Source organism: Homo sapiens, chromosome 5 (assembly GCF_000001405.40).
Source record: "Homo sapiens chromosome 5, GRCh38.p14 Primary Assembly".
NCBI lineage: Eukaryota > Metazoa > Chordata > Mammalia > Primates > Hominidae > Homo > Homo sapiens.
Genome location: NC_000005.10, coordinates 168348123 through 168363341, shown reverse-complemented (window position 1 = coordinate 168363341; position 15219 = coordinate 168348123). Strand labels below are relative to the sequence as shown.

Below are 15219 nucleotides of genomic sequence, written 5' to 3'. Positions count from 1 at the left end.
ATGTTTGTCAGTCTGGTCTCAAACTCCTGACCTCAAGTGATCCTCCTGCCTCGGCCTCCCAAAATTCTGGGATTACAGGTGTGAGCCACCACACCTGGCTTCCTCTCTCTTTTTAGAAAGTTAAATGGGAGAAGGTAGGAGACAGTAGCTGAATTGGATTTGGTTCTCAAAATCTGCTCTCTGAAGGAGGAGGCATTTATACCTGGAATTCCCAAGTTCTTCTTCTCGTAAACACTTCCCTTCCTCTTGTTCTCTACCCTCCGAACACCTGTCTCAAAATTCTGGCTTTTCCACCCTTAGATCTCCTTGTTTCCCTACTCTGTTTGGGCTGGCTTACCCAGAAGTTTTCTTGGCCTAGTTATTCCCATCCTAAAATTCTTTTATAGAAAAAAGAAGAGGAGGGAGGGCTGGAGGGGAGATTCCAGACGGTTCCTCCACCCCAAACCCTCCCTACCTTCAGACTAGGCCCCCACAAACCAGTGGCTCACCTCCCCACTGCCAAATCTTGGATTCTGTCTTCCCTCTGCCCTGCTGGGTTGGTGAGATCACACACCTGTGCCCTTTGGGTCCATCCCCTTCCTTCACCTCCATCTTGAGTCTCTATGCTTATCTGTTCCCACTCACTGACATGGGGTGAATCCAGGCTGCTAATCCCCTCTGTGTGCTGCCTGTTGGGTTTAAGATTTCAGTTCTGAGAACCAAATCATGGATTAGAGTAGGTAAAGCCAACGGACAACCTGAGGGCCAAATTCAGCCTGAAGATATGTTTGTTGATCTACTACAGTGCTATATTTTAAAAACGGACTTAGCACACCTTTGGGGACAGGCACTGTCTGGATGCACTTTGTCCCCATTGCTTTCTAATGTGTCACTCCTGCCTCTTGGTTAAGAGCAGAGGGCTCTGGAGCCAGACTCACTGGCTTTGAATCCAGGCTCTGTCATTTTCTAGCTGTGTGACCTTGGACAAGATATGTAAACTCTATGTGGCTCAGTTGTCACATTTGCAAAACAGGAAAAATAAGAACACATATACTGAGCACTCACTATGCACCAGCAACTGTTCCAAGCAGTTAATGTATTTATATATTTACTCAGCTGGCCTTCACAACAGCCCTTTCAGGCAGGTACCATTCAGACCTGCCCCACAGTGCTCCTTGAAGCTTACATGAGATAATGCATGAAACAGCACATGAGTACACAGTGAGTGCTTGATAAATGTGAGTGATTCGTTTTTCATTTATTTATTTATTTATCTTTTGAGATGGAGTTTCACTCTTGTTGCCCAGGCTGGAGAGCATTGGCACGGTCTAGGCTCACTGCAACCTCTGCCTCCCGGGTTCAAGCGATTCTCCTGCCTCAGCCTCCCAAGTAGCTGGGACCACAGGCGCCTGCCACCATGCCCGGCTAATTTTTTCTATTTTTAGTAGAGATGGGGTTTCACCATGTTGGCCAGGCTGGTCTCAAACTCCTGACCTCATGTGATCCACCTACTTCAGCCTCCCAAAGTGCTGGGATTACAGGCGTGAGCCACCGCACCCAGTGATTTATTTTTCACACTGCTGCCCAAATGAGGCCCCCAACGTAGAGAATGTTAAAATTAAAAGAAACCCAACAAAACAACTCCCTTTCTTTACCAATGAGGAAACTGAGGGACAGAGATAAAAGACTTGCCTGGAGCCACCCAAGGACCCAGGGGACCTGGGGACCAACTCCAGCCCTGCATCACATAATGCCAGGAGATCAAATCAGCTTGGTGCTGGGCTTGGCTCCATTTGAAATTCAATAAGCATCTGAACAGCCTCCAAGAAATAGGTATTGATAGCATTTTCCCAGGCTAACTAACCCTATTATACCGAATGAGACTGATCATTGGGTAGGAACCAAGATGGAGAACTATGAAGCTCCCATTCATGGAGAGACGAGGTTGGGAGGTGGGCTCTTCATTTTTCTCATTACCTACTTGGAAGGTAATTTCCTAAAAGCCCCACACCACAGTAGAATGAAGACCCTGGAATATCTTTTTGCTCCTCACCCTGCTCAACCCCAGCTTCATCCTCATTCCTGAATTATGAGTTAGGCTATGGAAGCTCTGTGCCCTAAAGAAAAAGCCAACAGAACCAGAGAGGACTCCCAGTTCCATCCTTCCTAGCTGTGTAATCTCAGTCCATTCCTTCCCCCAGGTCTGAGCCTCAGTTTTCCTGCAGGTATAGAGCAGACAAGAAAACCTGCTTCCCAGGTTCTTGCATTCATTCATGCACGGACAAGACTCAACACAGCACCTGGCACACAACCCCAGGCAGGCCTGCAGCCCTACTCCTTTCTGTATTTAGGACTCTGGGGACACTCAACTCCCAGCCTTATTCCTTCCAGCCTCATGAGCTGGGTTCCCAAGGGCTCTTCCCAGGTGCTGGGCTGTCTAGAAGCCTCATCAGCAGTAACTGCAGAGGCAGCAGCTCACCCTGTCCTGGAATTTGGCCATTCCAGAATCTTCTGCTCCTTGAGCTCTGACCCTTACCACACAGCTTGAGGAGCTGGTCCTTCTAGAAATGGAATTGACCGTGAAGACTTTTCTGAGATCCTGTCTGACTTGGGGCCCCTCCCAAGACTGCATGGTTTAGACAGAGCACTGGAAGAAGAATGATGAGATCTGGGTTTGAAGCCTGACGATGCCCTTGGGCAAGGCACTCCTGTTGCTGGACCTTAACCCTTTCTCTTGGTCTTTCCCACCTGCAAAACAGAGGAAGCTAGAATTTAACACCCCTAAGGCACCCTCTGCAGCTTTAGTCTAATACCTGGCCAACCTGTCCCAAAGGTCAGGGCAGCTTCCACTTAAGGCCAGTGAAGCACTAGGCACAGGACCATATGCTCCATGTAAAATAGATCGCTTCCTTTATTCTAACAATATTTCTGTGAGGCAGGTACAATCACCCCAATTTCACCAACAGGAAACTGAGGCTTAATAGTAATAGCAATAATAATAATAAAAGCAAAATTTCATTGAGTATTTGCAAAATGCCAGGCACTATCCAATGTCCCTTACATAGACCCTATTTCACCAAAAGATGCACATTTTTAAACACATTCAGCATTTTCTGAAACTCTGATGTATGCTACTACTACTGACATCTTACAACTGATATCACCTAGGCTGCAGTCCTGATGGAGCTGTCACTGCCTGTGTGTGCACATATATCAAAGGCATCAGCACTGCCACTGGTGGAACGGGTGCTACAGGCTTGGGATAAAAATCCCACAGACAAGACATTGAGGAATTCAAAAATTCCTCAATAAAGTTGTAAGCACTTTTAACCCCTAGGAACCAAATGGTTGTGGAAAGGTGTGGAGAAGGTATGCAACAGACCTGTTTAGCAACATTCCCAAAGCAGGACTCTTAAGCTGGCTACCTCTACAGAATTGCCAAGCTTTGAGTCCCTTTTTGTGGGTCTTTATAACAAGGCTGTATGACTAACACTCTTAAGGGCACAAAGGACAATATTAAAAGCACAGACATTAATAACTCAGCTAAAAAGCTACTCCGAAGAACTGGATTCTGAATGGGAAGACACTGTAGGAATACCAGAGTTTTATTTTTCTCATATATTCCTTTGTGGGTTTTTTACACATACAAGTGATATGTGAGTTAAAAAAGAAAAAACAAAAAAAACTAACCTTGAAAAATGTATTTCAACAAATATAAAATAAGCATTCTAATTACATAAAAACATTGGGACATAGTTTAATTGGCACAATTTCCCTTTCTTATGGCACATACAATAATGGTGCTTCTTAAAATCAATATTATCTTTATTTATAAAAACCCCAAGCTAGAAACAATCCATATGTCCATCAATAGGTAAATGGATAGACAACTGTGGTACAGCCAAACAACAGAATACTACTCAGCAATAAAAAGGAATAAACTATTAAAATATGCAGTAATGAAGATTAATTTCAGACACATATTAGGTAAAAAACTCTATAGTGTATAGGCCAGACGTGGTGGCTCACGCCTCTAATCCCAGCACTTGGGGACGTTGAGGTGGGTGGATCACCTGAGCTCAGGAGTGCAACACTAGCCCGGGCAACATGGTGGAACCCTGTCTCTCCAATACAAAAAAATTAGCCAGACATGGTGGCGCGTACCTGTAGTCCCAGCTACTTGGGAGGTGGAGGTGAGAGGATCCTTGGAGCTGAGGAAGTAGAGGTTGCAGTGAACCCAGATCGTGCCACTGCACTCCAGCCTGGGTGACAGAGTGAGAGTCTGTCTCGAACACACACACACACACACACACACACACACACACACACCCCACCACCACCAACAACAACAAAAACCATATATTGTGTGATTCCATTTATATGAAATTCTAGAAAAAACAAATTAACTACAGGGGCAGAAAGCAGGTCAGTGGTTGCCTGGGGAGGAGGGTTAGAGGGAGAGGATTACAGAGGGGCACAAGAAAAGTTTTGGAGATAAGGTTTGTTATACTGATTATGATGAGGAGTTCCTACATGTGTACGTATACATGTATGTATGTGTACATATATATATATATATGCGTGTCAAAGCTCATAAAATTGTTTAAACACATACCATTTAGTAGACTTCAAAAATTCCTCAATAAAGTTGTAAGAAAAAAGAAAATCGTCAATTCAATGCAACATATTAGCTTATTTAAAACAATCTTATACACAGTATTATTAGCTCCATTTTATAGATGTAGAAACTGAGGCACAGAGAGGTTAACTGGTTCATCCAAGGACACTCAGCTAGTTGAGAGGCAAATCCAACTGGTATCAATCCTCAGCTATACTACTGAGTGGCTGTGGGCACCTTCCCAGCCCCTGGGCTGCTGTTTTCCCATCCCTACCATGAGATGACAAAGTGATGGCTACAGGACCTTTCAGCACTGAGTTTCCATGACTGTGTCCCAAGGATGTGTTTGGGGTCACGCAGCCAGAGGAGTGGATCCTTCTGGACACTCAGGTTCCCTGACACTCACCGAGCTCTCCTTGCCCATCCTCATTCATTCTCTGAACACACCTCCTGACATCTCCTTATTGTATACAATAAGTCATCCCTCCAGGACCACTGTATGAAGCCTTTTCTAAACTAAGCTGTGCATTGCCTACCAAAGGTGTCCTATCAGGGCCCCAGGGAGACATGACACTGTTTCCCCAGGTCACCCACCCAGATAGACAGGGCCTTCCTGAGACCTGTTCCGGATGCTGCAGCTGACATGTCTGGAAAACCACAAGCCAGCATGGCCCACCACATGCAAGGGTCCCAAGTCTGTGGATTCCCAAGTGTTTGCACACTCAGATTCCCAAGTGAACACATCACAGTGAGCAGGCTGCTCTAGCCAGAAGCTCGCCTTGTCTGCAACTCGACTGCTATTTCTTTGGTTTTTAGGACCACAGAGGCCTACAGTAACTGATTACAAAGGAGCTCTGCACAACAGTGGAAAAGAAACAGTTTTCGCCTCTGAAAAGTATGACTTGCTTTATGGGTTTTTCTCCCATCATTTCTTTTTAAAGAAGAAAATAAATAGAATGTTATTCCCTGAAGGGAAGCCCTACCTGCAAGTCAACATGAAACACCGAAGTGTTCTGAGCTGAAGGCGGCTGGAATAAAGTCAGCAGTGAAACAAATAAGCAATTAAAACAGCTATTTTGGGAAGCCCTAGAAAGAGGCAGATACAATATGAATTATTCATTCATACTGCGAGGATGACTTCTGGGCATTGTCCTCTTTGCCTTTGCTCTTCTCTTGTTCATTCAGCCTCTCAAGCACAGAAAGGGAACACAATACCCTGGCATGCACGCACGTGCATGCGTGCGCGCGCGCACACACACACACACACACACACACACACACACACACACACACACAGAAGGCAGGTTGCCACTCCAGATGGTGAACCACACGGAAAAGAAACCCACAGGTTGGCAGACGCTTTGAGCTCCAGTGCTGGGGAGAATGTATGAATTTCCAGTTGGCCCAAAAAGTGTGTGTGTGTGTGTGTGTGTGTGTGTGTAAGAGAGAAAGAGGAAGAAAAAGACAGTATCTTAATATCTTATTAACAGTTGTAACCTCAGCATCTTATGAGTGGGCACCAAATGAATGTTCACTGAATGAATAAATGAACTCACAAAAGAACAAAGAAAGAAAGATCTCATTGGAATTCCCAGCAGGGTTCACAGCTAGGCCCTCTACTTTCCAAATTTTGCTTGTCCCAACAAAGAGAAACTTGTGATTGAAGAAACATTTAAGGTCCTCAAGGTGCTTTTGGATTCTTGACCTTATTTGATACTCAAATAACCGTCACAACAGTGGCATCATGACCATCATGATTATTTCCCTGTTTTACAGATGACACTCAGAGACTTCCCACAACTGACAGGGCTCCCAGGGCCCTAGGTAGGGCCAGGATTATTGGATATGAGCCACCTGAGCCTTGGCCCACTGCTCCATCTCCTCCACCAGGAACCGTCTCCATGGGCTTCCCTTATTCCCAGCTGGTAACTGGAGAAGCGCGACAAGAGCCAATTCCCTTCCCCTGGGAATGCATAACCCACTGGGTAGCAAACAAGGCCTCTGTCTCCTACTCCTGTTTCATTTTAATTAGTATAATCATCATCATGAAGAAGCCAGCTCTCTCTGGCATGTGCATTCTGCAGCCCTTGGATAGCTCTACTCGAAAGTCCTGGGGGAAGAAGGTGACACTAAGGTAGAAAGGATCCTTGTGGATTGTCTACAGGTTTCAGTGATTTGAGAGACAAGGTTGACTCCATTATCACATTCGATTCCCAGATCAGAGCAGGGTGTGGGCCGGGGAATTCTCCCAGCTCAGCTGACTTGGAAGACTCTTGCCTGACACCGATGTATGACACCTTTTTTCCTATGGACACCAACACATAAGAGCCTGGAGGCCAGGGGAGCGGGCAAAGCCTTTGGAACCCCAGGGACCCAGGTTCACAGCCGTGAGAGCTTGGGCCAGACACCTTGCCTCCATGGGCCTCCGGCCGCATCGGCATGTTCCCTGGAACTGAACAGGACTCAAGAAGTGTGCATTCCTTTGCTTCCTGCTACTTTCTCTCCAGAATGAAGCCTTACAATAAACACGCTCTTCAGCGACGTAATGAATCTAGTCGGCAGAAATCATGCGGCAGGATTCTGCCATGAATTGGGTAGAGCACCAGACAATGAACCAAGATCCTTCCCTTGCTGTTCACTCTCCATGTCCTACCTAGATGGGAGAACCGATCCCCATGCTCTGTGTGTTCACAGGCCATGGACTGAACCTTCACCTGGGGCTTTCCAGAAGCCCCTAAATCACAATAGCTTGTTCTCATCACAGCCCCCCCAAGAGAATCACTGACATCTCTCTCCGTCTCTCTGGCTCCCCGTCTCTCTTTCTCTCTCTTGTTCCTTCCCTCTCTGCCTCTCTCCTTCTCTCCCCACTTTGCAGCACCCTTTCCTCACTTCTCCAGCTGTTTATTTTCTCAGTTTTTCTACCTACACTCCTTCCTGTTCACTCCCTTACCCACCCCCATAATAAAAACAACAACACATTAATCCAGTCTTGTCACTCGGTTGCTCCAACCCCTTCAAAGTCTTACCACCAAAACAGGATGGAATAGAACTCCTTGCCCCTGACCTGCTCCTCCAGCTTCACCTTTCTCAATACTCAGAATGCAGTAACCTCATTCCCACCTCAGAGCCTTTTGCTCCCGCAGGTCTCGCTGCCTGGGACAGTTACCTGTCCCTGTCTACACACCTGTCCACTTTTTGCATGGCTGGCTCTCAGTTGAAATGCTGTTTTTTTTTTTTTTTTTTTTTTTTTGAGACGGAGTCTCACTCTTGTCACCCAGGCTGGAGTGTAGTGGCGCGATCTCAGCTCACTGCAACCTTTACCTCCCGGGTTCAAGAGATTCTCCTGCCTCAGCCTTCTGAGTAGCTGGGATTCCAGGCCCCCACCACCATGCCCGGCTAATTTTTGTAGTTTTAGTGGAGACGAGGTTTCAACATGTTGGCTCTGCTGGTCTCAAACTCCTGACCTCAGGTGATCCGCCCACCTCAGCCTCCCAAAGTGCTGGGATTACAGGCGTGAGCCACCACGCCCAGCCTGAAATGCTGTTTTTTAGAGGCCTTCCTGGGCAGGCCTGACTGAGTGCCACCCTCCCCCAATTACTTTCTGTCACTGTATTTGTGTGTTGATATGTTGACTGTCTGTCTCTCCCATTCCAACAGAGTCACACCTGCAGAGTTCACCATTGTCTTCCTATGACCAAACACAGGCCCTGGCAGAGTTGAGGCTCCCTAATATCTGCTGAATGAACATAGCAGAAGGCTTGTGGCCATCTCCTCCTCTCTAAGAGGAAAACTTTGGGGGCGTTTTTGGTCTTGCTTTTTACCTCCTGAAGCAAAGTCCCTGAGCCTATTGCTTACAAAGCCAGCCTAACAAAGACTTCCAGGGATACAGAGCATATAGCCCTACTCCAGGGCCTGCTGCAGGCCACAAAACTGTTCACTCTGGAAGCTCAATGCTCTCTACACACCCCACAGCAAACTGGAAATGACCAAAGAACGGGCCCTGAGAACCCTCCCTGGGAAGACTGAAATGATGGAACTAAGGCAGGTCCACAAAGGAGAAACTTACCAGTGGAATGGAATACACAGATGTCTAGACTGGCAAGTCAGACCCGGGAATTGGGTCCATGACAAACATTCAAAGGTCTTATAAACTGCAGGCATCATGACTTTTGTACCTAGGACAGCACTAGTGCTAGGCATATCCCAGGTTCCCCAAAAAGATAGAATGGAGGAGTAAATTAGCTAAAATATATTTTAAAAAGTATCCAAATAGTTTAAATTTTGCTTTTCCTTAATGAAAATACAGCCAATGAGAAAAGATTCAACAATGAGCCCCTGATTTAATTCTATTCCAGTGCATCAATATTAAAAAACAAAAAATGAAAAAGCACTCAGGCCGGGTGCGGTGGCTCACGCCTGTAATCCCAGCACTTTGGGAGGCCGAGGGGGGCGGATCACCTGAGGTCAGGAGTTTGAGACCAGCCTGACCAACATGGTGAATCCCTATCTCTACTAAAAATACAAAAAACAGCTGGGAGTGGTGGCAGGCACCTATAATCCCAAGTACTCGGGTAGCTGAGGCAGGAGAATCGCTTGAATCCAGGAGGCAGAGATTGCAGTGAGACGAGATCACACCACTGCACTCCAGCCTGGGTGACAGAGCAAGATTCCATCTCAAAAAAAAAAAGAAAGAAAAAAAGAAAAAGCACTCATTTTTGGAAGAGCCTAAGCTTATTTCCAAATATCTTTTCAGAGCTATTGTATGTCCAGCACCAAGTATGAACTTAAACCCAGCTGGAAGTAAACACACAAACTATTCATTCATCCATGATCATGTATATGGAGGAATGAAGACATCGTTCCAAATGAAACTTTCACAACAGGCGACACAGGATTCCCAGAAAGGTGAAATCCGTGCATGCTGGACTACTCCCAGGAGGTTCTGTAGAGGAAGCAGGAAGTAGCTTGGGCCCTGACTTGGCAGTGATCGGGCCAAATAAATAAGACCTTGCATTTAACCTTCCCAACCACACACTACACAGTGGAGGACACTAAGGCTTCAAGAAGCGCTTGATTGGCCTGACGGCACACAGCGAGTGATGGAGGAACAGCCCTCTAGATCATGGTCCAGGTGCAAAGGCTCCCTGGGCGTCAGGTGAAGGAAGGACAGCAACTCTAACTCTTTGGGGTTGAGATGAGAAGGACAGAGGCTGGCATGCCATTGAGGGGCAGCAGGAGGCCTGAGAGAGGTGGAGGGTTGGCAAGACGACGGCAGGCTGATGCCAGGAGTGGCTGATGCCAGGGGCAGGGCTGTCGCGTGTTTGCACACTAGTAGCATCTTGTCTCTTTACTTAAGAACTTCACATGCAAAGGGCAAGGACTGCCTCAGGGTCTGGAAGGACAGCATGAGACTGGAAGAAAAGTCTGGAAGGAAGAGCCAGGCCAGGTCACAGGGTACCTCCAGGAAAGCCTAGGGAGTAGGGGGAAGGTCAGTCATGGCCTTCTCTTAGGGAATGTGGGGTGGGAGGTGAGTAACCTGCTGAGGGGAGTGTGGGGACCTTCCCAGGCCCCCTGGAAGGACCCAAAATACACAAAAAGGGGTTCAGAGTGGGAGGGAGGCTATCTGTGGGGTAGAAGGAACGTGGGCTTTGGAGTATGCAGGTCCGGGTTCGAATTGGAGTTCAGCCAATGAAGTAACTTCACCTCATTAGTAACAATGATAGCAACAATCATAGTTTTCATTTACAGGGTATTACTATGCAATAGGCATTGACCTAAGAGTTACCCATATTAACTCCATTTAATCCCCACAGCAATCTTGTGAGATGGTACTATTTTGTATAATTGAAAATTATTATCCAGGCCGGGTGCAGTGGCTCATGCCTGTAATCCCAGCAATTTGAGAGGCCGAGGTGGGTGGATTGCTTGAGGTCAGGAGTTTAAGACCAGCCTGACCAACATGGTGAAACCCCATCTCTACTAAACATACAAAAATTAGCTGGGCAAGGTCGTGGGCATCTGTAATCCCAACTACTTTGGAGGCTAAGGCAGGAGAATTGCTTGAACCTGGGAGGCAGAGGTTGCAGCGAGCCGAGATCATGCTACTGCACTCCAGCCTGGGTGACAGAGTAAGACTCCATCTCAAAAAAAAAAAAAAATTATATATATATAATCCTCATTTCAGATGAAAACTAAGGCATGGAGAGGTCAAGTCGCATGCCTTAGGTCCTGCAGCTGGAAGGTGGCAGAGCTGGGATTTGAATCCAGGCAAATAGGTTCAGGGTTCTAAGCTCCTAATCACCATGCACCATGCAATTAATAAAACAGGAACAACAATATCAATACTTTGTGGAGTATCAGGAAAAAGTGCAGAGCTCAATGAATGATATTTGAATAATTACTGGATAAACCTGAAGCACAGCAGAAGCCACCCAGGCAAAGGAAATATTTGCCAAAGACATACTAAGTGGTTCTCACTTTGTAAACATTATTTGACCACCTGATACGGACATCCCATTTTTCAGATGATGACACTAAGGCTCAGAAAGCTTGAGAAGCCAAGAGGGCCTCAATAAGCACATGTGGACAGTATTCAAGACTCGTGCGTGTTAATGTTAATTGAGCTCTTGCCATGGGCCAGGCCTTGTCTCATTGGATGCTCCTGACCGCCCTTTGAGGTAGGTGCTCAGTGACCTCTAAGGAACGGGACAGCAGGTCCTACAGCTAGCAAAGGGCAGCTCTGAGATCGGAATCTGCTGCTTCTACCACATCAGCTGCCACGGGAGGGTTACTGCACAGAGAACGTGGGGCAAACAAGTGTGTCTTGGGTGGAGAGGGTGCAGAGAAGCAGCCAGTCCCTAGGCAGACACCCGTCTCAGTTCTGAGTGGAGTCTACTCAACACCACCATTAGGATCCAAGGATAAACAAGACACCCAGAGTGGGCAGGCGGCACGTGGTGCAGAAACAGCCTGGCTGCGACAGGACTGGTTGCTGTTCTCCACCCACCTCCAACCTCCCTGGTCTTTCTCGTTTCCTCTTTGCCTGGGCTGCCCAATCCCTTTCTCTGGAAGTCAAATTCTCCGCAGGCATCCAGGCCTGCTGCAAACACTGTCTCCCACCTGCAGCCTTTGCCAGGCCCCAGGAGAGCAACCTCTTCTCATCTCCCACAGCCCTTCACCTGCACCCCTCCTTCCATCATATCCTAACTCATGGCACTTTCATTTGTATCCTGCTCTTCTCTCGCCTCCTAGAGTGGAAGTCGCTTCGAGACAAGGTCCGAGTTGGATTCATTTCTGGATTCCATGAGTATTATACATTTCCCATGTGTATATGATGCCTTTTGGTGGCACACAGGATGACTTTATGAGGTGCACTTGCAAGGCAGGAAAAAACATTGGATCTCTCAGGGAAAATGCTATTCCCTTTTCAATTACCCTTCAGCTTTTCAGATTCAATCAAGAGTAGAGTCTACAGTCTGGAGCTACTGTGTCTTTAACTACTCCAACCTCTGCCAGGCTCCTTTGTTAACTAAGAGAGATTGGACCCTAGGCTCATTGCCTTCCCATGGGCTATCTAGCTGGGATTTTTTTTTTTTTTTTTGAGACAAGGTCTCACTGTTGCCCAGGCTCCAGTGCCGTGGCGTGATCTCGGCTCACTGCAACCTCCATCTCCCAGGTTCAAGTAATTCTCCTACCTCAGCCTCCCAAGTAGCTGAGATTACAGGCATGCACCACCACGCCCGGCTAATTTTTTGTGTTTTTAGTAGAGACAGGGTTTCACCATGTTGGCCAGGATGGTCTTGAACTCCTGACCTCAAATGATCCGCCCGCCTCGGCCTCCCAAAGTGCTGGGATTACAGGCGTGAGCCACCGCGCCCAGCCTCTAGCTGGGAATTGGTAACATCATTTTACTTCTATTGGCAAAAATTGGGAAGAGGGTGCACCAGTGACTGAAGTTTTGGAAACCCTCATTTAGCTCATTGTTTGCAATGTCTTAGATGCTCAATAAACATTTATTAAGCACATAGTTGAGCAGAAGAATGAATGAATGAATGAGTGAATGATCATGATAACAATAGGCTTTCTTCCACGTCCTTTTCCTCCTGTCCTGCCCTTGGCCAGATGCCCTTTATGTTGGGGTGGAGAAAAACAGAACAATGTTTAAGAGTAGGGAGCCAAGGGAGAGCCAGTCCAGAAGAGGCATGCTCAACTTCAGTCCAAGCACCCTCGTGACCCACGCCAAATAGCCTCCTGGACTGTGACCTGGGGACCAGCAGAGGAAGGGATGGAGAACAGTTGTTGGATTTCTGCCACCAAGCACCCATTTCTGCCTCTTTTGGTGACAGCATTGCAAATTTCCTGAGGAACCCACCTCTCTAAAGATTCTCCATCCACGTGCTTTGGTGAGCAGTTGATTTTAAATCATTCCTGCACAACCCACTATGGACTAGTAAAAGTCAACCTCAGGACTTCCATCTGAGCCATGAATAAGAGAGACCTCTTTTTGCATTTTTCTTCAATCCTAGAAGATCATCATGTGCAAACTGAGAACGAAGCCGATACAGCAGCAGGCAGAGTCAGGAGGAGAGAAACTAAGACCTGATGATACAACTGGAGCCCTGCATTGAACAGTGACCTCTGGACTTTCCCAGTATGTGAACCAATCCATTCCTCTAGTATTTAATGTCCAATTTAGCTGAGAGCTTTTCCATAAGATCTCAGAGGAATGACCTGGAGCTGGGAGGTGAAGCAGGTGTTTTTAGCAGCAAAGGTGAGCTGTCCGCATTTGGAGGGCCCAGAAAGATGGCACCCATGCAGATAACCATCCTTCTTGCTAGGTGAAAGGTGGAGTGTTATTTTGAGGAAACAAACGGTTACTTAAGAGGCCGCTGTTGGTCACAGAACTGGGGTTGGTGGAGCTGCTGCTCCAGACCAATTCTTCCAAAAACAGGAAGGGCTGTGAGCCTCCCGCCCAGTGGCCCACGGCAGCCAACCCCACTCCCAGCCCCACTCTACCTTCTATCTGCAAACAGAAGCAAAGGGAAGGAGAGCCAGTCAAATGACGGAGAAAGAAGGAAGCACTCCTGAGGACCTACTGTGTGCTGAACAGCAGACCACAATGTAGGTACCAGCTTGACGTGGCCACTTACCGACTGTGTGCCCTTGAGCAAGTCCTTGTTACAGATGCTCAGTAAATATGAGAAGGTGACAGAGCCAGCCTGCAGGGCTGTGCTGAAGGAGAGGGTGAGGCTGCTTGGCCAGGATGAGGCCCTGGAGAGTGGGATGGAAGGAAGAAATCTTTTACAGGGAAGAAAAGAAGGGATTTCCTGAGCCCAAAGCTGGAAAGCATTAAAAAACAAACAAAACCTTTCTATAGTTATAAGGTGGGGGGTGTCATATACAAAAGATTTCAGAAGGCTTGCTGAGAAACAGGCGTGTCAGAGGGGTGGGAAGAGAACTGGGTGGGGGTGTCAGAAACCCACGTGCCCAAGAGGCCTACACCTGCATGGCTGAATGACCTTACAGGTCTCTGGGACACAATCATGGGAATTCGGTAATGAAAGGACTTTTAGAAATCACTGTGTCTGGTCATCTCATTGTGGAGATGGGGAAATTGACGCACAGGGAACAGAAGGGACTCGGCCATGACCATTCAACAACTCGCTCTGTCACCTGCCAGCTCTTGAATCTCGGGCGTATTAACCTTGCTGTGCCTCAGTTTCCTCCTATGTAAAATGGGGATAACAATCATCCCCACCTCACAGAGCTGTGGGGAGGTTTATAGGATGACGTGTGTACAGCAGTAGGCATTATGTCTAGCATATTGAAAGCAGCTGACATGTGTTAGCTTTGGAATTTTCAGACCACTCAGGAACTTTTCCATCAGAAGGGAAACCCCTTTCTTCTCACACCCTCAAGCAAAGATCCCAGGCTGCAGTGTGGGGGCTGGATACCCCTGGCCCCACCCCAATCAAATTCCTTCTGGGCTACCTTCAGGATGGCTCTGCTAGGGCCCTTTCCTAGGCTGATAATTTCTTTCTTTGTATTTCTCCAGCAGACCCTGCCTGGACAACTACTCCTTGATCTTTTCCGGATGGCACCTTTGTATTTCCTCCTTGGAGAAGTCCTTGTTTGTGATGGCCGCACCCCCAGCTGGCAAATGTGTGTGGCTCTCCTCTGGCCCACCTGAGGTCAAGGTGGGATAAAGGGAGGCCTGTGCTCACAGCCAAGCTTCCACCCCACCCCGGAACTTCTTGAGAGGTATGCTTCAGGGAGAGGGACAATGATGTGTGGCCCTTCCCTCTGCCAGCAGCTCTTCCCATCCGGCTGTGGATTAAAGGAGCCTGGGTCACTGCCCAGGCAGAATAAAGCCTGCAAACATCCTGAGGATGTGCCCCTCCTTGGCAGGAAAACAGTAGAGAGGGTGAGGGTGAGGGCTTGGGTCTCCCTGAGCTTCACCCTACCTGAGCCTGTGCACACACCCGTGCACACACATCACAGTCACGTCCCCTGAGCTCAGGAACCAGCTCTGCCACTTGCCAGCTGTGTGGCCGGTGCACATCACTTCTCTTGGCCACCTTCAGGAAACGGTGCACATCACATCCCCCAACCTGTCAAATGGG

The 15219-nt window shown here is 47.6% G+C and overlaps 1 protein-coding gene and 1 long non-coding RNA gene across 18 annotated transcripts in view; one reads left to right on the top strand and one right to left on the bottom strand.

Moving 5' to 3' along the window:
- WWC1 (WW and C2 domain containing 1) overlaps positions 1-15219 on the bottom strand; it is a 180659-nt gene that overhangs the window by 108962 nt on the left and 56478 nt on the right. The window lies entirely within an intron of this gene.
- Positions 11210-13198, top strand: LOC124901129 (uncharacterized). Its single transcript, XR_007059039.1, has 3 exons — positions 11210-11274; positions 12943-12999; positions 13123-13198. It is a non-coding gene; the product is annotated as an uncharacterized LOC124901129 (long non-coding RNA).